This window comes from Homo sapiens, chromosome 1 (assembly GCF_000001405.40).
Source record: "Homo sapiens chromosome 1, GRCh38.p14 Primary Assembly".
NCBI classification, from domain to species: domain Eukaryota; kingdom Metazoa; phylum Chordata; class Mammalia; order Primates; family Hominidae; genus Homo; species Homo sapiens.
In genome coordinates, this window is record NC_000001.11 from 185,033,239 (window position 1) to 185,055,080 (window position 21,842).

General features: G+C 40.1%; 1 protein-coding gene across 2 annotated transcripts in view, besides 1 other annotated feature; it reads left to right on the top strand.

Annotated features, from left to right (window-relative positions):
- Positions 11,950-12,209: a silencer, noted in NCBI's record as "silent region_1643". NCBI's record gives its function as "represses an Ori minimal core promoter by ATAC-STARR-seq in GM12878 lymphoblastoid cells {active_cell/tissue: GM12878}" and the evidence as "EXISTENCE:reporter gene assay evidence [ECO:0000049][PMID:35858748]".
- The window catches only part of RNF2 (ring finger protein 2), a 57,046-nt gene continuing 47,523 nt past the window's right edge, over positions 12,320-21,842 (top strand). The window contains exon 1 of one of the 2 annotated variants that reach the window (NM_007212.4): positions 12,320-12,411. The gene's annotated coding sequence lies outside the window, so the exon portion shown is untranslated. Of the gene's footprint in view, positions 12,412-12,515; positions 13,058-21,842 lie in introns of those variants that run through there. The other variant, XM_011509852.3, reaches the window with a different exon arrangement.

Genomic DNA, 21,842 nt, shown 5'->3' on the forward strand with positions numbered 1-21,842 from the left:
TTAAAATTTTTGAAAAATAAAAAGGTTTTATAACTGTGCATCCAAAATTCATTTTGGGCTAATGTGGAAAATTTTTTTTCCTTAAGCATACATACATCATTAAAATGAAATTTTTTTCAATACTTAAATGTGACTTCAAATAATAGAGTTTTTAAGACACTGGTTTAATTAAAATAAAGCAGATGACAGACAAAGATGTGTTATTGAATTCTAGCTATGAAAATGTGATGTCTAAACTCCAGACGAGAATGGAGCAAAAGGGGATGTGTAGATGTGAATATTTACATGTTGAAGCTATATTTTCCAAGAATGTTTTGCTTTAGATTAAGTAAAAACTACCAGAAAATCATGGATCTTTTGGAAAATGAAAATAATTGAGTTTCAAAAGCCAGAAGTTTCAACAACTTCCAGATTAAGAAGTGGAATCCCACTTAATTTGAAAAGATGATTGGAAAAGTTTTATTCTAGTGTACAACTAGCATAAAAGGAAACTTCTGAACTACCTAGAAGTCTTGATTCTCTACTTTCAAGTTGAGGCCACATTCCTGTGCTCTCGTCTTAAACATCTGGTTTAAGTTCTTGCCATATGCGATAAATCAATGCATAACAGATAATAAATTTGGAAGGTTGTATTCCTATAGGCTTTGGCTTCTATTCACTTAGCCTCTGCAAATTTGATGATTTCTCCATCTTAGTTTATCTGTGGATAACTACCAAGAGAGGGCCCCAAACACAGATTGTCCTTTGGAATGAAGAGCTTATCTCCAAAGGCAATCAATCAGCAGGAAACTTGAAAAGACCAATCTCTGCTACCGTGTCTTTATGAGCTCTGGGAAACTGACCCCACCATTTCATGGAGCTAGGCTCCTTGCCCTATAGTCCTTTTTACCCAAATATGTTTAGTAATAGAGGTTTTTTATTGGAGTATAATAGGAATATTCACTATGTGGTTTATTCAGAAATTTATTCTTTTATTTTAGTACAAATATTCCAAAAAAAAACCCCAAAAAACCTGAGCAGTATTTTATTAGTTAAAGCAGAGCCATCAGTTACGAAAAGGCAGTTTAGAATAGTGGTTAAGGGTGGGGTCAGGCGTGGTGGCTCACACCTGTAATCCCAGCACTTTGGGAGGCTGAAGCTGGTGGATCACCTGAGGCCAGACATTCGAGACCAGCCTGGCCAACATGGTGAAACCCTGTCTCTACTGAAACTACAAAAATTAGCCAGGTGTGGTGGCAGGTGCCTGTAGTCCTAGCTACTTGGGAAACTGAGGCAGGAGAATCGCTTGAACCCAGGAAGCAGAGGTTGCAGTGAGCCAAGATCACACCATTGCACTTTGGCTTGGGGGATACAGCGAGACTCCGTCTCAAAAAAAAAAAAAAAAAAAGAATAGTGCTTAAGAGAATGGATTTGCCCACACTGTTATTTTGAGGTGACTCAGGTTAAGTATTAAGATGCTTTAAACCTTTATTTTCTAATGCATAAAGTGGTAATACTGAAGGTAATTTCCTCATAGGATTGTGAAGATTCAGGGAAATGACACTTACAAAATACTTAGCACTGTACCTGACACAGAGTTTATGAGGTTGTTTGCTATTAGCACAGTTGTGAATTTGCCTATAACTCTTCTAATTTCCAGGATTAAAACTAATGTTGCTGTGACTAGAGCCCTATGAGAGATGCTATTCCATAGTGTGTAATTAATAATGAGCTGTAAGGGGCAGTTATTCCTATTGCCTTTACTCGTATTGGCCTCATAACATTTGTTATGTGCCTCTTCCCCCCATTAGATGCTGGGTTCTTCAAGGATAAGGTTTATATCTTACATCTCTCTAAATTAGTCTGGTGATTTGTTGACTCTTAATAAGGGAATAATGTATAAATGAAATGTATGCAAATACACTTAAAACATTAATTTTACATTTGAATTATTTTGTGGTTTTAAGTAATTATAAAGAATATGTTCCTTTAATTCCCCTGGGACTAGTAAAGCAACATTGATATTACAGCTACAAATAAAAAGACAGTTAACATCATATATTACTCTTTGTTTACATTTCGAAAAGGAAGTCTGGTTTGGGCATTTGATATTTGAGATACCTATCAGACATCTAAAGGAGGGGTGAATAAGTAGAGGAGAGGACTGTAAGTCTGGAGAAACTTCTGGGGTCTTTAAGTTTGGAGAAAATTGAAAGTTGTCAACACATGGATGGTACTTAGAGCCATGTGACTGAATAGGATTACCCAGAAAGAGAATATAAAGTAAGAGGGGAAAAAGGTCCTAAGACTAAATCCTGGGACATTCCAAAACTTTAGGGTTTGGGGTGAATGATGAGAAGCCAGAAAAGAGACTGAGCTGGAGTGGGTCAGAGAAATTAGGAGAACCCAGATAAAGTCCAGTCATTATATGTCCAGATCTCACTGTCCCTGGCTCTTTTCATCTCACTCATTGATTCCTCACATCTATCTCAAAGCTTTTGTTTCCAATTTTCATGAGCTGTTTGCATCTGCATCTCTTAACTGACCCTCTGTTTTTCATGACCCTCACCAATAACTTTGGGTTTTGCATGTGTCTTTAGAATTGGCCCACTTATAACTTTAGAACCTAGAGTCTAGGTCAGGGGTATCCCTTTGCCAGCCTCAGCTCACATCACCCATACTGCACCTATCCCTTATTCCCCACTACACTTGCCATCCTCTCCACTGGAGGAGGAGGTATAGCTGTTCTTTATGTTCTTGGCTTCAGACCCCCAATTCAATTTTCAAGTGAGTCTCTTGTACCCCATTAAACTTATACTGAGCCCTACTTTCCCAACTTCCTGCTTGCCTGTGTATTCGGTTCTTGCTCCAGCTCTGGGCATTTGGCCACTTTGGACAAATCTCCTGCCCTTTTCAGCCAGTCCTGGGGTCCCTCTATGTCTGCATGACCCTCACCCCACTCTACCCTAACTGCAATGGCCAGTGTTCTTGCTGTGACCTCTCGAGCCATTTGCACCAGATTTGGAGGGAGGTCAAGTCTTCTGAAACAAGCCTAATGCATCGTTGAAACTTTTCACCATATGGTGATATCAAAACATCTGAAAAATTAAAACCCCCTTGAATAGAGGTGTATAAGATGGGAAATTCAAATAGTAAATTCTCAACCTACCATGTGTAGTTGCTTCCAGCAATCACGTGTTAAATCAGTAGGAATTTCTTGAGCGAGTGCTAAGGAGACTAATTAGCAAAAAACACCTGATATTTTCCCTAGAGATTGTGGGATATAAATTAGTAGGAGGAGAATTGAGTCCCAAGATAATTATATAGGTCCTAGAACTCTTTGCTGCTATTTGAGGGATCTATAGTCATTGGTTGGTCTCTGTTTAGCCTAAATTCTTACTAAATAGGGTAAGGAATGTTTAAGGGAGTAGAGATTAAGGTCTAATAATAAGCCATTTGAATGCCTGATTTTCAGGGACGCTACACAACTAGACCTGCAGAAACAAGGAATTTTGAAGTTATAGCTTTTCTGTTTGTTTTGGCTGATGATGCCTGATCTAGAACAGCTGTTTTCTTTACCACCGTCTCGCAGTTAATAATAGGTAGATATATGTTAAAATTTTCACTCATTTTTATTAGATCAGTTTGCTTTTTATATGTAATTGTGTCTTTACCAATTTTGTAATAAAACACAATTTTTTATTTCATTGGGAAGCATTCAAATCAGTACAGAAATGAAGAAATACTTTAGAAATTGAAAGTGTTCAGAAATTCTCCTCAAATGCAATCCCTTTTAATAGTTTCATGCACATTCTTTTGAGTTTTTTTGTACTATAAAAATAAGATTATATGGAACATACTGCTAACTTGATTTTTTACTTATTAATATATCTTTAATATTTTTCTATGTTAGTGCTTGTGGCTCTATCTTGTTCTTTTTGACAGCTATATGATGTATTCTTTATGGAACCAAAATTTACTTAGCCAAAAAAGTGGGTTATTTTCAATATTTTACAAATACAAGTAACACAAAAATTAACACCCATGTACACATTTCTTTGCACACTTGTGTGGGTACTTCTGTGGGAGAGAGTTCTAGAATTGGACATTTCTTAGGCTAGAAGATATACATATTTAAAATTTTGAGAGGACAGGCATGGTGGCTTATGTCTGTAATCCCAGCACTTCAGAGGCTGAAGTGGGAGGATTGCTTGAGCCCAGGATTTCAAGACCAGGCTGGACAACATAGTGAGACCCTGTCTCTACAAAAATTTCTTTTAAAAAATATGTTTAAAAGACGAATTTAAAACTTTTTAAAAATTTTGAGAGATAACCACAAAATTGCCCTCTTAAAAGGTTGTATCATTTTTATGAACATCAGTAATGTATGCAATATCTGTGTTTATAAACATTGAGTATTATGATTCCTTTAATATGGTTAAGTAGAGGCCGGGCATGGTGGCTCACACCTGTAATCCCAGCACTTTGGGAGGCCGAGGCAGGCAGATCACCTGAGGTCAGGAGTTCAAGACCAGCTTGACCAACATGGTGAAACCTTGTCTCTACTAAAAATACAAAAATTAGCTGGGCATGGTGGCAGGTGCCTGTCATCCCAGCTACTAGGGAAGCTGAGGCAGGAGAATCACTTGAACCCGGGAGGCAGAGGTTGCAGTGAGCCGAGATCGCACCACTGCACTCCAGCTTGGGTGACAGAGTGGAGTCACCCAAAAAAAAAAAAAAGGTTAAGTAGAAAATTGTTCCTATTTAAATGTACATTTTCTAAATGTTATTGTAATGTTTAAAGCAGATATTTTTAGTGACTGCTTTTTACAAATTGGAGTTATTATTATTACTCAAAACCATACCAAAAGTATCTTGGGGATAAGATATTTGTGTGTGTGTGTGTGTGTGTGTGTGTGTGTACACACATATATGCACACACACAGAAAGGCACATATATACATATATTATGTAAATGTATATTGCATTGTGTCAACTGCTTGGACCCACATAAAGATGAATAATGACCGGTGTTGAAAGATGAATAACGACATGGTATCCTCATGCTAGGATTAGTGATATACTACTAATGTATGTTTGCTTGGACTAGTAGTTTGTGGCAGGGCAGGGATGTATTTGCATACTACTAATCCAAGTGAGTGAACAGGGGAAAAAGACAAATGCTAAATGTGGTCTAAGTATAGAACTAGTCAAATTTCAAGTTCCAATTGGAATATAAGGATTAATGTATAGCATTTTAAACTTTTACTTTTAAATGATAGTGTATTTTGATAGGATTCTTTAAAATCAACATCTAAATACAGTTCTACATGTTGATAGTTCACCAAGAAAAAACTTTCCTGTTGGGCATTATTTTCCTTTAGGTAGTTGCAACATTATCACGTAACATAACATGGTGACCCAAAATCCTGACCTAAAATCATTCCTCTAGTATTCAATACCAATGATGTCAACCTCATTGCTTCTCAGTTTTTTCCCACTTCTTTCTGCATTTGTTGATAGAGAAGAAGGTACTTTTTTCTGTGCCATGAATGGCATAGAGAAGAAGGGTTTTTTTCTGTGCCATGAATGGGAGTACCATGAATTATGTTTGTGACACACGCTTGTAATGCAGTTTACATATACTATGTGTCAAACCCCAAGCTAAAGGCTGGGTTGAAGATATGGCCAAATCAAATTAAAGGGCCAAGTCAGAAAGTGAATAGGTTGGCAACTAGCTAAGAACTGATCATGTGGAAGAAGAGACAGCTGCACTAAGAACAGGCCCACAGCAGTCTTTAAAATTTTAGGAAAGGGTCCAACTAGGGCAGCTAATGTGATAACGTCCAAGAACGAAGAATGATAGCTAAGGATGTGTACATGCCAAGAAGTTATGGAATTGGAAATCCGCTAACTGAATATAACACTGTTACAGAACAAGGATTAGTTATAGTTACATCAGCGGAGAAGTGTTAGAGAGGGACACAAGGTGGTGCATTAGGCCCCCATATACCCCTAACAGGACACTATGACAAGAGGAGACATTTACAGCTAGCTTTACGCCATCTTACTCCTTATGTGTTAGTCTTCATAATACATACAGAACGACAGTCAGTTCTGATCTTATAAGCATGACCTATGAAATGTGTTTATTTTTTAAAAAATGATAAAACAAAAATTTTCCATGGAAAGACTAGAAGTATAGCACACAAAACCTTAATATTATAGGTTGACCACAATGGTTTTTCAAATTCACCTAGATTATAACCTACTTTAGCATGTTTTTTAATATATATTTAAGTGGTTTGCTTTTGTGGGTTATGAAATGCTAATGTCTCAGCAGATGGATACTGCAAGAGTTTCCAAATCTTGATATAGTCTAAAATAAAATTAAATTATCTTATATGGGTGGGATTTGGCAGTTCTTTTAAATTATTTACTAAAAAATATTTCTACGAACTGTATTAGATAGGAGATGTCTTTACCCTCCATTCCCTCACCTCACAAAAAATCATTCTGGCACTATGCTTCTCTTAAGAAGGGAAAAACTAAGATGTCCACAAAGGCAGTCTGAGCGAATCGTAACTTGATTTAAATATTTTGCACTCTTCATCTGTACTTTCCCATTGGGATCTTCTATCCTTCTTTACTGGAGGAATTTCCACTTCAGTGCTGAGTTTCAATCTGAATCATCTATTCCTTATTAACTTCCAGAATGATTGTTGATGTTCCTAGATCAATGCCAAAGCACAAACCTCATCTCTCACAGTAACCATTTTGAAAGAAAAAAAAATCTGCAAAGGTTTATGTGAATGGAATGAACTTTCTTCGTACTAGAAGCCAGTAATTACTGAAAGCCAGTAATTAAATCATACTTTATTTTATATTTGAAAATGGATATCACAATAGTATACACTTCCATTATGAACTATAAAGAAACAGCTATCCATGCTGCATCAGAATGAAAACTTTAATTCACCCTTTTGGCTTTTCAAACACGTTAGTTCATTATTTTAATAAAATGCACTAACAGATGTTAGGCAGAATGTGGCCACATCTGGGACATATAAAATACCATTCCAAATCTCCATGGGAGGGAAATAGCAATATTGTTTAGTTTTCCTCAAAAGTCTTTCTAACTAGCCCATCTCATTTAACCTGTTTAACTCCTTTAAGTTGGACAGTTAGCAAATAAAATATCACCTATTATTTTGGTTGTTTGGGGAATAGAAAAAGGAATTAAAGTGCCAAGGGAAGTATCACAAATAGAAATGCACTGTGCTGAAATACAAATAAAACTTCACTAGAGCTTGTGGCTAGAGCTATATTTTTTCAGCTGAAAAGGTCGTAAATCTCAAGTTGCCTGCTTCCTGGAGCCACCCTGAATTATAGGTCTCTCTAGGCCTTTCTACAATGTCCCCACTTAACTTGGCTCTTTCAAAGAAAGCACAACACATCTAAAAGATGGCAAATAAAGATTTTGGTAGAGGATATATTTCAACAATAGTATCTATACATAGTGGTTAAATCCCAAGCTCCTCCAGTCTTCTAGCTTACCTTTTACTTTTATTTTTGCTTTTTCTCTAAAAGTAAGTTTTCTAAGAAGATAAAACCATCACCTGCTAGTTTCCTATTAATGTATCAGCTTCTTGAAAATCATCTTGGCTGGGCATGGTGGCTCACGCCTGTAATCCCAGCACTTTGGGAGGCTGAGGCGGGCAGATCACTTGAGGTCAGGAATTCAAGACCAACCTGGCCAACATGGTGAAACCCCGCTTCTACTGAAAATATAAAAATTACCCAGGTGTGGTGGCACATGCCTGTAATCTCAGCTATTCGGGAGGCTGAGAAAGCAGAATCGCTTGAACCGGGGAGGCAGAAGTTGCAGTGAGCTGAGATTGCGCCATTGCACTCCAGCCTGGGCGTCAAGAGTGAAAGTCTGTCACAAAAAAAAAAAAAAAAGAAAAAAAAAAAAAGAAAATCATCTCTAGCTTCTTGAAAAAATACTACACTGAGGATTGGGATAAATGATAATGTTGAGAGGAAACTCCAGAGATGTTTGACTCATATACCACTTACTAGAAAGAAGAAAGATACTGCAGTTGTGTATGCAGCACAGAGTGGCAAGGCAGATGTGGCAGAATGGAATATATCTGGCACTTGGAGTCAAATGACCAAGGTCTGAGCCTCAGCTCTGCCACTTACTAACTCAATGTTTGGGAGAGTTATTGAGCTGCAGAAGTCACATTCCTGTCCTCCATAAAGTAGGAATAATACCTTGGAAAACTGTTCTGAAAATTCATGAAATAACAGATCTAAAGTTTCTTTATAAACTGTGATGCATACATAGCTTAGCATTAACAGGTGATTGGTGGCCTGCAGTCTTCATCTCAGATGAGCTGATAACCATTAAATACTTCAAGCATGACTGAAAATAAATGTATATGGTAGAGATAGAATAGGCAAGTGTGAATTTCCATTTAAGACACACTGCCTAAGCAGAGAAAGCCTCTGGAGAGACTAAACAAACTCTTGACAGAAACGTCCTCTGTTAAGTAATGAAAGTGAAGCAAACCAAGCTCATATGTGCTATTCTATTTCATATACACACTGGAGTCAAAGAATCCCATTCTTTCATTCTCTTAACACCTATTTATTGAGCATCTACTAAGTGCCAGCACTGTGCTAGTCTCTAGGTATCTGCTGGTGAACAAGATTTTTGCTTTCAAGGAACTCATATCCTAGTTATATTAATGTTTTTATTCCAAGTACTTAACAAAGTGCTTGGCACATACTAGATGCTCAATAAAAGCTGGTTGAACTAAACTAGTTTTAATTTTGTAGCCTGACTATAGCAGAATACCAGTTAAGAGGTGATTTTTTCTTTCATTTTTTTTTTTTTTGGATATGGAGTCTGGCTCTGTCACCCAGGCTGGAGTGCAGTGGCATGATCTCAGCTCACTGCAACCTCAGCCTCCCAGGTTCAAGCAATTTTCCTGCCTCAGCCTTCCGAGTAGCTGGGATTACAGGCGCCTGCCACTACACCCGGCTAATTTTTGTATTTTTAGTAGAGACGGAGTTTTGCCATGTTAGCCAGGCTGGTCTCAAACTCCTGACCTCAGGTGATCCACCGGCCTCGGCCTCCCAAAGTGCTGGGATAACAGGCCTGGGCCGCCATGCCCAGCCAAGAGGTGATTTTTATGATCACTTAGAGATACCTACCCAATTCATCATGTAGTTAACCTGATACTACTTCTGAAGTGTTAAAGGAAGACAATTTTTTTTTAACTAGAATTCATCTAGTCATCACCCATAATATACTTCTATTATGTAGTGTTAATTTAATGTTCCTCTACTTAAAATACAAATATCACTTCCAATTAGCACATTTAACATGCAGATAGAGTGTTACTAGAAAATGTTTTTTAGAACGATATCTGTTATGTCAGGTCAAAACATTAGCAAAAATAATGTGGTCTGGATATGTGAATCACTACTGATATATTTACTATGGAGTTTACATCGATATAATATACGATTAAAACAACAGGGAAGAAAATGGAAAGTCCACTCTATTTACATGGCAGTCAACTCTTAATAAGTAAGAGAGTTTACTTTTGAACGCATAACTTTCTTGGGGTCACTCAAGAGAACCAGTGTTACAGAATAAAACCTCTTAGAATTTTCCCATGGCATCTAGGAACCTAGTGGTGAGGTCAGGGTGGCTGACGTTAGCATTGTTCACCAATGTCCCCACTTCTCTTTCTGAACTCAGTTCAAGGACTCAGTCCCTTTGCAGATGTGTGGGGCTGTACAACCAGTTCTGGGCAATGAAATGTGATCAGTGCTCTCTTTTCCAAGCTAAGGCTACGAAAAATTCACGGGGATTCTTTAGCCATTTTCTTCCTCTGCTGCAGAGAATAAGTTTCTGTGTTCCAGGGTGGTACAGCTACAAGATGGTGGTGTCTCTATCAATCTGGTTCCTGGAGTGACCAGAACAGAGTGAGTTGGATCCACATGAAGCATGAAGCATAACCAAACAATAACTTTTGTTGTGTTAAGGCATGTAGATTTTGGAGATGTTTGTTACTATACCATAACATAACCTTTCCTGATTAATATAGTCAGAGAAGATCCAGTGCCAAGTTTCTGAGTAAGAGATAAAATAGATAAAATGAGTTCCATTAATTTGTCAGTAGTGTTTTTCATATTAAGGATGTTAGCCTGAGGTCTAGCTTTTTAATCACATTTAATCCAGATATCCCATAAGTTTTCCGTTTTTCCACTAATTCTCCTGTGAGTCTTTTTTAAGCACTATATTTAACTTTCATCCATAAAGTTCCTGCGCTTTCTACAAATCATCACTTTTCTCAACATCAATTGAATTGCTTAATCTAACCACACATCATGATTTTCAAAGGCATTTTAATTAGAGCAAAAGTTCTAAATTATGAACACCTGTCTTCCTTTAATTGAACTACACATGCACTCGTCATGAAGGAAGAAGGGAGATGCTTCTGCAACTGCACTGTTTCTAGAAAGTGGACTTTCACAAGAAGGGAGAAGCAGAGCTTCCCTGATTATTTTGATTTTGTTGTTGTTGTTGTTTTGTTTTGTTTTGAGACGCAGTCTCGCCGAGACACCCAGGCTGGAGTGTCATGGCGCGATCTCGGCTCACTGCAACCTCTGCTTCCCAGGTTCAAGCGATTCTCCTGCCTCAGCCTCCCGAGTAGCTGGGACTGCAGGCGCGTGCCACGACACCTGGCTAACTTTTTTTTGTATTTTTAGTAAAGACAGTTTCACCATATTGGCCAGGCTGATCTCGAACTCCTGATCTCAAGTGATCCGGTGGCCTTGGGCTCCCAAAGTGCTGAGATTACAGGCGTGAGCTACCACACCCAGCCTTTTTTTCTCCCCCCACATTGGAGGAAGAGTTTAACCTTGAAGGGCTTGTAGAGTCAGATAACTGTCACTTGTTATTTAAAGTTATAGATAGTAGGCAAAAGCTTTCAAGCCACTGAAAAAGAATAATGCTTGTTTTCTTTGATGGATTGTTAGGTAGCATATATAATGTGCTGTATTTAACACCTGTCCTTTTTCTTTCCACCCATCCAAGGCGTCAAAGGCCATCTTAAATCCCGGCTCCTCAGGAAATCATCCCCAAACACACCAGCTGGAATTGATATTTTTCTTTTCCAAATTCCTATGTAAATTCATGTCATTTATTTGGAATTGCTTATAGAGAGTTTCAGAGCGTTAAAGAACTGGAAAGGACCTAGGATTCAATACAATTCTCTCATCTCGCAGACGAAGAAAATGAAGTGCAGAGGAGCTACGCAATCTACGTAAGTCACATAGACACACATTGGAGGCTATGAACCTAGTTTGCCCAATTCCCACTGCAGTCCATTGGTTTATGCCTCTATGCCTTCAGATTTACGGTCTGGTATTGCTGGTTATCTTCTCAAGAGAACATGACATCTCAACAATAGTACATATAGAGATCAGGGAACTTTCAATTCTTCGTTACTTCTTCAGCTCATAATTTATATGCATTAAATGTCGGATAATTTACTGGAGACTAACTGGCTGTGTTTTAGGTAATGATTACATCTATTAATCTATTACTTCGTAAATCCTCAAGTTCAGAAGGTAACACTGGAAGGGGCCAAGGAGGTAGGAATAAAGCAGCAGCAAGGTAAATAGTAAGAGCTGATGACCACAATCAGAATGTTAAGCTAAGTTTAGAGTGGAAGGTCATTTTCCCAGGAGCAATTACACTTGCAGTTTTATCCTGCAAGGATGAAAAGTGTATGTTTGTTGTACGAGAGCGGAAGGGTGCCGAAGTTCATGTGAAGTTCTGCAAACCAAAGCCTGATGAGGATTTCCGCCGGGTGGGACAGGTTTAAGAGGACGAACTCATGAGAAAGAAGTCTGAGCCCAAACCCCAGAAGCCGGCCAGGAAGGTGTAAAGGGTGGGCCGAAGCCAGGGCAGAAGAACCCAAGCAGAAGGTTGAGCACGAGGTGGCTGCGCCGTCATCCGGGCGTTGCCCGGGGGCTACGTCGGACCGCGGTGGGCGCCGGGGGGGCGTGGCCGGCCAGCCCAGGGCGGGGCGGTGGCGCGGGTTCTCCAGGCCAACACGCGGCGGCGCACCCTCCCTCGCGCCGCGGGCCTCCCCGCGCCGTGCACGTCCTCGTCCCGCGCCTCCGCCCCTCGCTCGCTCGCTCCTTCCCGCCCTCCCCGCAGCGCCGGCCGAGCCGGCTTCCCCTCAGTCTCTCATGAATATTGAGCGGCCCCTGTTGTATTTCCCGAGCTCCATTGCGGAAGCTGAGGCTCGCCATATTGTGCGGCGGCGCCGGCGTCCGCGGCAGCTGATACCAGAGTCTTGCTCCGGCCGCGGCCAGCGGAGCCCTGGGCTGGGGCAGGAGCCGGTGAGTGGGGCGGGCGGGGAGGCGAAGGACGCGGAAGCAGCGGGCCGGGACACGCGTCTACTCGGCAGCGTTGCAGGCGACTGACGGGGGCCCCGGAGTGTGGGGGGGGTGTGTGTCCGCGGGGGTGTGAAGGGACATGGCGCCGCCGCCGCCCCCGGCCGCTCTCGCGGCGGAGACGGCGGGTGAAGCGGGTTCTCATTGTTCCCGTGTCTTCGAGGGTCGTGGGAGGGAAGGGAGCTGGTTTGCGGAGGACCCAGTCAGCGAAGCGCCGGGATTCCTTCCTTCGCCGCGAGCCTTTCGCTGCCCTTTCCTCTGCGCGGAGGCCGGCGCTGCGGCGCGGTCCCCTCGCCTCCGGGGGCGGGGGCCCCAGCCTCTCTGCAGCCCTACTCCGGAGGCGGACGGAGTGGAATGCGAGTTTTTTCTCTGGGCTTTCGCCTCGCAGCTAGGGATGTGTGTCTGCATCGTGGGGGTGGGGTAGGGGGCACTTTGTGCAGATATCGCTCCTTCCTTCTGGGGGGTCGGAGTCGGGGTTCCAGTGTAGAGGAGCTCCTCGACCTCGGGGTTCCTCGGGGAGACCCCTTCAGCTTCACACATTCCTGGAGTGCCGCCTCCTGCTCTGGAGTATCTGTTGCTGCTTTCTAAAACCGTGAGCTTACCCAGGAGGAGTCGTGGGGGGAGGGGGTGTCTTGGTTAGTTTCTGCGGGAAGATTCGCGTTTTGAACCGTGTCGTTTACGCTGAGATGCTAGTACCCACTTTTGCCGGGAGCCCACGTCCTGCTGGTCAGAATCGTTTACCTTCTACAGAAGTCTCCTTCTTGCTTTCAGAGATGGTGTTAGTAAAAATTGATCTCAAACTTTGAGGTTCATTCCAGTTATTTGCCCGCTAAGATCAATTATAGACTCATCTATTTGAAGCCCCTTTGGGTATCTTTTTCGAGGCTGTCGGAAGTTTTAGAGAATGTAACTTTACATTGTAAAATGATTTGAAGATGTCAGGTTTCTTTGAAGTGCCGTGAAAAGGATATACATATGCACTCAGTATTTTAGTAATACGCTGTTTTTCAATTAAAAAAATTAAGGCATGGTTTCAGTGTTCTAAACCGAGGATATGTTTAAAACGAATGTACGAGCGATTTGCATTACATAATCTACTTTTGGTAATTCCAAGATGATCAGCTGGAATACTTAGTCTAATTGGTAGCTAATCTATCTGTTTTGTATTAAGTGCAGTTGTTGAATATTCTAATAACTGAGGTGGGTGTGAGAGTTTGCTTCTTATAGTGAAATTTGATCCTTGGATTTATAAAGTATTTAAATAGCAGCAATATGACTCTTGGTTATTCCCTTTTTCCCCTGAAATTTCTACTTTTCACAATCAACAAGTATCTTTAAAAATCTTGATTGTACTCTTAAACTACTTTTTAGCAAAATAATAGGTAGTTATAGGTGACTCCTTTTTCTAGGGGTAGCACAGCAAATATGGTCCCTCACTTTTTGTAAGGATTGTAGTTATTTTCCTCAGGTATCCTTGTGGCATCCACATTTGAGGTTAATTATAGTAGAGGCAGATTTACGAAGAAAAATTGCCCGAGTCAGGCCAATCCGTTTGAGTATTTGAAAAATAAGCTAGTTGTCCTAAAGTGTGTTGCATAGAAAAATTTCCAGTTACAATCACTAACATAATGTAGACCATGCAGACTTTCAAAATACTGGGAATTTGGAGTTTTTCTCTGCCTGTGTGAAGCTCCCAGGTTTGAATGGATAGAAATATAGACCAGGTCAGCAAACATGTTTGGAATTTTATTAGTGACCTACAGTTTGTGGTGTCACGTCTGTGTCTCTAATCTGATTTATTCATGATTTGTGTTTATATTATGCAGACTTTGGAGTAAAGGTGATATATATGCCTAATGAATAATATATAACCAGATGTTTCAGTGACAGTTTCATTTCTATACATTAGCAAAGAAGCATAATTTCTTCCAGCAAGAGAAATGAGTTAATATTAAAACGCACTTTATTAAAATTATGGCAGTGTTTCTAGTATGACTTAAAGCGCTTCATAATTTTGAAATGACTCATTAAATTCTGGATAAACTAAAAATCCATCACAGTTTGCAGCTTTTAAAAGAAAAATAAGAGATTATGTACTCTGCGCACGTACACATCTACAATTGGTTTTTAATTCGTGTTATTGCACACACTGTAGAAGACATTGTCATCAGACAATGGTTAATTTCTCGATTGATTCATTTATTTGACATCTAAGCTGTCATAGTAACTTAGTGTTTATTTGCATTTAATACTGAGTAGGTGCCCATATAATTTGGGGTACAAAGGTATAATAGCATTTACACAGTCCATTCCTTAAGGGTCCAGATATCCTGACTGTTTGCCTACTGGTCTTCTACCCTTTCTACCTAATGTGTCTACTGGGTCTTCTGGTATTTCTTGGGGGAAGCGCAGTTTGATTGGTCTTACATAAATATTTTGACTGTGGTCATGGGACTCTTGGCATTTAAGTAGAAGCTAGTGTTAGTGTGTTGCCAGGCAGGAGCTAGGTGATGAGTCCCTGACTATAGGTGCTAAGAGCGTAGGTGTGACCCATTATCCAGTTTTATGTTGTGTGGAGCAACTCCGGTAGAATTGGCCATGTTCTTAATTCTCCTTTGCTTTACGGTTTTTAGACAGCTGAGGCAGAGTGGTATGATTAGGCTTAGTTATGTATCTTGTTGGATGCTCAAGGAGCTATATACATTACTAAAAATTCTAAGATTTCTATTGCTTAAATTTACTTCTCCCATTTCATTTTGAGAATTAACATGTTTGCCATTTATCATAATTTTTAAAAATCAGTTTATCTGTATTAAGTACAATGGTGAAAAGTTATTTTTGAAATTAACCTTGGGTTAAATTTTCTAATGAGAGCATACTATTAAGTGAAGTAACCAGCCAAATGAAAAACATGTAAGCATTTTGGTCATTTGTTTTCAAAAGATATGTTACTTACGGGCTCTTCTGCAAGGGGGATTTCTTTTTGTTTCTATGCTATAGAGTGGAGTTGTATGAAGAGGTTAGATTCTAAAGTCGATGCATAGAATGAAAATCACATGTAGTAAAAAAAAAAATCATGCTTGAAAATCCCTCAGGAAGGCAGAACAACATACCAATAAGTTCAGCTAAGCTTTGGTGTTGGAACACATTGCAGTTTCTTGGTGTTTCTTTGAGCACTGCGTGAAGTAGTTAGCTTGCATTTAGGGACCTTGCATTTGGGGCGGGGATGGGGGAGGTGCCTTGGGAGGGGAGTGCCTTTAAATTTAAGAATCTGGATCCATTGGGAGGCCGAAGTAGGTGGATCACGAGGTCAAGTGTTCGAGACCAGTCTGACCAACTTGGTGAAACTCCGTCTCTACTAAAAATACAAAAATTAGCCAGGCATAGTGGCGCGCGCCTGTAATCCCAGCTACTCAGGAGGCTGAAGCAGGAGAATTGCTTGAACCCAGGAGGTGGAGGTTGCAGTGCATGCCACTGCACTGCATCCTGGGTGACGGAGCGAGACTCTGCCTCAAAAAAAATCAGGATCTCATGCCACACTATCAGAGGATGTGAGAACTGGGACCACTGGGGAATAGCAGAACATTTACTTTATCATTTCACATTATTTCTAGGATATGTGCTACATTAAAGGAGGTGAGTGTGTGTGTTTGGAATAACTTGCACTTTTAAAATTATTTCTCATTTTCTCTCATTTAAACAGTGTAGTAGTTTAAATCACAAAAATTATTTTTATGCTGCAGCTTAACAGAAGCAAATTTAGAGGGTTTCACGTTATCCTTTATGAAATAGTTTTTATGAAATAACCCAAATTTTGTTTACTTTCCCCTTCAGTGAAGCAACAAGATATCTGAGAGCAGTTAGAATTATTGTTTTACAATGTGCTAGGGTACAGTAGAGAAAACGGAGACTTTAGTAAGAATTTCAACAGAAAGGATTTAATATAGGGAGTTGGTTAGATGAGTGTAAAAAAAAAAAAGCGGGGGAGGGGGGAACATTACAGTAATCAGAACCTAAGAGCTCAGAGAAGAGGTTCTATGGACCCGGTGCTGGACTTTTGAGTAGGTCAGCATTGTGTGCTTGCTGCTAGTACTTATAAAGGCATGTGTTATTGCTGGTTCTGGGAGAACCACAAAAACCTGGAGACTGGAACCATTTGCTAACTGCCAGGGTCAGGGGCTGCATTTGCTACTGACAGGAACTGGAAAGATGTCCCGTCTCCCATCTTCCTGTTTTCCAGTCTTCACTTACTGCTGCTATTGGCAAAGCCTAAGGAGATCCCAGCTGGCAAAGGAGTTGATGAAATATAGTTGCAGTCTCAGCCATAACAACATAGAGTCTGGGAGGGTAGTTTTGGAGTTGAGAGACAATAAGTAAATGATCTGGACGAATAGTGTAGGTTAAGATGTAGTAATTTAAATAGGGAATTCTGTGTTAACGTTGCCTTTCAAAAAGTATTTATCTTCTGTATGCCAGACCCTGTGCAAGGGATTAGGAATAGAAAAATGAATCGAAAAAGGTCTTTGTCCTTGAGGAATTTATAGTGTAAGTGGCAATGACAAACTACTGTACAGTGTTTTCAGTGCAATAGCAAATGAGTGCTATGTTTTGGGAGCCCAAAAGACAGCAACCAACTTGCCTCTTCTCTGCCTACCTAACTTTATAACTACTCTTTTTATCTTCTATCCTGATTAAATCCAATTTCATTCTTTCTGACTGCTATGTTCAACCCAACTCCTGTGAAAGCTTTTTCTGAGATGTCTCAATTTCGTCACATAATTATTATTTTGTATTTCTCTGTGCTTTATTCATCTAGATTATAAAGACCATTGCTTTCTTTGCACTTTTAGCTTAGTACTGTGCACATAGATACTTGAGAAATACTTTTTTCAGTGGCTGATGGAAATAAAATATTGATCATTACCTTTTTAGACATCATTTCTTCCTTCCAAGGTCATTAGAAAATAGTTTGGGTAAAGTGTTACTTGATTTTACAGATAGAAAAATTGAAAGGGTAAAATAGTAAATTTAAACTGCATAGTACCAATAGGTGATCTAAAAATGGGGCTTTGGATTTCTGATCAGCTATCTTTCAGAGCCAGCAATTTTGACAGGCATTCCTTTTGATGGCTAAATAAAATTCTCTCCTACTTCTTAGTATTTTATAAACTGATGTTCTCAATCTCAAGGTATTTCGGTGTGGGATGGGGAGAAATTCCTCATTTCAGTTCCCAAAAATAAAACATTATGTAGTTTCTTAATTGTCCACTCTTTGTTGTCTTTTTTTCTCCTTCCTGTATTGATGACCACTACCTCTATTCGCTATTGCGAAATGTGCAAATCGACAGTACTTCATTTTGACTTTTTAGAAGTGTTCTGCTTGTTTCCCACACCATTCACACACTATGTTGATTTACTTTAAAACCAACTAATTCTTCACTTAAAAAAAAAGATGTATGCCTCCATGCCAGTAATTGCATTAAACCCTCACTATTTACACTGTTTGCTATATAGAGTCTTATTCAGTCTGGGACGGCTGTCTTGGAACCCAGCCAAATGTTTTCTAGAAGGCTTTACTGTATTACAGAAGGGGTAGTATTGTGTATAGTAGGAGTTGCAGAATTGAATGCAGGAGACTTGGTTTCTAGGTCTGGTTCCACTACTAGCAAGATTCTTGGCCTTTCTGAGTCTCTTTTCTTTTGTTAAAAAAAATAAAAAATGCCAGCCTCACTGACTTTACAGATTATTTGAAAAGATATAAGAAGTAATGTACGTAAAGCGGTCTTTGTAAAGAGTAAAGCACATGGTAAGTTTAAGGGGTGTATGTGAAGAAAAAAGTGAGAGTGAGATCCATTGGTCCCTGGCTTGGATCCTGGGGATTGTTTTGTGTCTATTTTCAAGTTGTTGAGTTTCTATATTTAAAAAAGTGTTTAGGGTGGTAATGGGGTGTGGGAGGAGTTGTGGATGTCCTATAACCCTACTTGTCACAAATCTGGTTGGTAGTGCAGCATTCCCCCTCCTTAACTAATTCTTTTTTTTTTTTCATCTTTCAGAATTTTTTATTGAGGTATAACAACTGTATACAAAAATACACACCAATTTTTACATATATATACACACATTTTATGTATATATGTATATACATATTATATATACATGCATATATATATGTAAAAATGTGTGTATGTAAAAAGTCGTATTTGTATTTATACATATATTTATAATATACATATTATATATACATTTTTACATATATATATATATATGCATGCACCCATGTAACACTTCTCAAATTAAGAAGTGGAACATTCTATTACCCAGGAAAGTTTCAGTGTTAGCCTTCCCTGCCAATCCTCTTCCCTCACCTGTGACACCCCCCATTATTTTCCTCCTCGTTTGATCTGACATCATGGAATATCTGTTCTTCCTTCAGACCATTTCAGACTCATTCCTTCCTCCCATTCCTCTTCGGAGACCTTTCCTAATAACTGCAGCACTCTTGACCTCTCCTACCACTAAACCGGAGGTATCCAAAGTAGGGCCAGGCAATCTAGCATGTAACACACAGGTTCCTGGCACCGCTATTCATGATACCCAAAAAATGGAAACAGCCCAAATGTCTGTCAACAGATGAATGGATAAACACAATGTGGTATAAACTTACAGTGGAATATTATTCAGCCATAAAAAGGAATAAAGTACTGACACATGTTACAATGTGGATGAACCTTGAAAATATGCCAAGTGAATGAAACCAGCCACAAAAGGCCACATATTACATGAGTCCATTTCTGTGAAATATCCAGAATAGAAAAATCCATAGATTGGTGGTTGCCAGAGGTTTGGGAGATGGGGATGAAACTGCTTAATGGGTAAAGAGTTTTACTTTGGAGTAATGGAAATGTTTTGGAACTAGGGTTAGTGGCTGCACAAGACTGTGAATGCGCTAAATGCCACTAAATGTTCAATTTAAAATGGTTCATTTCACCCCAGTAAGTTTTTTTAAAAAATGAGGTGACCATCGTTTTAGGTGAGCTGAAAAGTTTGAATGAGGCATAGGCTCCTTGAATTTTTAAGCTGTGAAGTGCTGGGCAAATATCAGCTGGGGATGCTGAAGGAAGGAACAACCAGAGGGTCAGCAAGTGTGGCTTCAAAGCTCTGCCTCAAGTAATGACGGTGATAATAAGAGATGGCTGTACTACAGCTACAGTGCTTAATATGAGCCAGGCACTGTTATAGGTACTTTACATCTAAAACTTACTAAATCCTTAAGAACTCTAAGAGGTGGTATGACATCACATTTCCATTATAGACAAGGAAACTGAGGAATTAAGAAGTTTAAATGAGGTCTCCAAGACACAGGAAATGACATAGTCCACATTTGAACCTAGGCAAGTCAGGCTCTAGACATTGAAGTCTCAACCACCAGGCTCTGCTCTAGGAACTCTCCAGGTTTTATCTCATTTAATCCTTTATTAAGGAAGGTATTATTGTTATTATTCCCATAAAAAAATCCCCTTCATAGTCTCCCCACATTCCATGCCTTCTAGTTTTCCCCCTACATTTATTTTTATGTTGATCCACATACTCCTGTCATTATTTTCTCACTTTGCTTCATTTTCCTTTTTTTCTTTTTCTTTTTTTTTTTAAGAGACAGGATCTTGCTATGTTGCCCAGGCTGGAGTGCAGTGAGGCAATCATAGCTCACTGCAGTCTCCAACTTTGGGCTCAAGTGATCCTCCCGCCTCAGCCGCCTTTGTAGCTGAGATTATAGGAGTGTGCCACCATGCACTAATATTCTTATTTTCTTTCTTTCTTTTTTCTTTATTTTTGTAGAGATCGGGGTCTCATATTGCCCAGGCTGGTCTTGGACTCCTGGTCTCAAGCAGTCCTCCCTCCTTGGCCTCTCAAAGTGCTGGGATTACAGGCTTTGGCCACCACATCCAGCCTGAATTTTATTATTTGCATTTTCTTTTGCTCTCCCATTACTAGAAGGCAGGGATTTTAATTACTGTTGATTTCCCAATATCCAAAACAATGTGTGGTACGTAATAGGCTCTCAATAAATATCTAAAAGGAGTAGTGCACGTGACATTAAGTAGTATTAGGTCTTGTGTGCCTGTGTTTTAATAAATAAGATTATATAATGTGCAGTGTTCTGCTTTTTAAACTTAATGTCTTGTATTAAAAAAAAAAGTCACTACCTAGATGTAGCTCATTCTTGGATGGATGTTAGTAACCCGGATTGAATGTAGCAGCGTTCACTTAACCAGTTTCCTGTTAATCTACATTCCCCCCCCACCCAGTGTTTCTCTAGCACGCAAACAATATGGCATTAAACATCTTCACAAATGACTTTTGTATATGTGTACTTATTCTTTATAACTAGTGTCTAGAAGTGAAACTGCCGGGAAAAAGGATATATACTTTAAAAACGTCTGTAGGTAATGCCAAGTTTTACTCTAATTATCCACTCCTGGTAGAGCTGCTAGGGCACGCAACGGGTTTCAATATGCCTTGGACTAAACTGGACATTATCATTCATTCTTTTTGCTAATCTGATGGCGGAAAACGAACCCCCAGTTTACAGGTAAGGAAATGGCGGCTTAAGTTCAGAACTGTTCACATACATAACCGGCAAGTGGCAGAGCCGTGTTTTGGCATCAGAAGCGACTCCGGAGAGGACGTGTCAAGGCTGGACACTGTGCTCTGTGTCCTGGGGCACGTCTGGTGATAGCTGGGCCTTGCAATACTGGCAAGCAGGCCTTCTTCTCCCATCTGGGTCTCTGGCCCCTCCGGGCCGGCCAGACGCCGGCTCTTCTCCATTACGAGCGCTCTTCCTGAGAGCGGGTTCCTCAGCTCTGAAATGGCGGCCGCCAGGACCCCGAGGCCACGCCTCTAGAGGCGGGGCCTGAATTCCTAAATAATTGTCTTTCAAGATTGACATGTCGCCTCAGTTTCTTTTTAATCTTTCTTTGTGGGTTTTTTAAAATTTTTTATTATTTTTTTCAGTTTTAAGACAGGGTCTCTTTCGCCGGGGTTGGAGTGCAGTGGCGCGATCTCAGCTCACTGCATCCTCCGCCTGCCGGGGTCAAGCGATCTTGCCACCTCAGTTTCCTGAGTAGCTGGGACCACAGGCGGGCGCCGCCACGCCCGGCTATTTTTTTTCTATTTTTGGTGGAGACAAGGTTTCTCCATGTTGCCCAGGCTGGTCTGGAACTCCTGAGCACAAGCAGTCCGCCTGCCTCGGCCTTCCAGAGTGCTAGGATTACAGGCATGAGCCAATGCACCTGCTGTTTCTTTTCACCAAGGTTGCATGTGTTGATTGTATCTTGAGAGAACACCCCAAAAGTTTCATTACACATGTAGGAACAAAA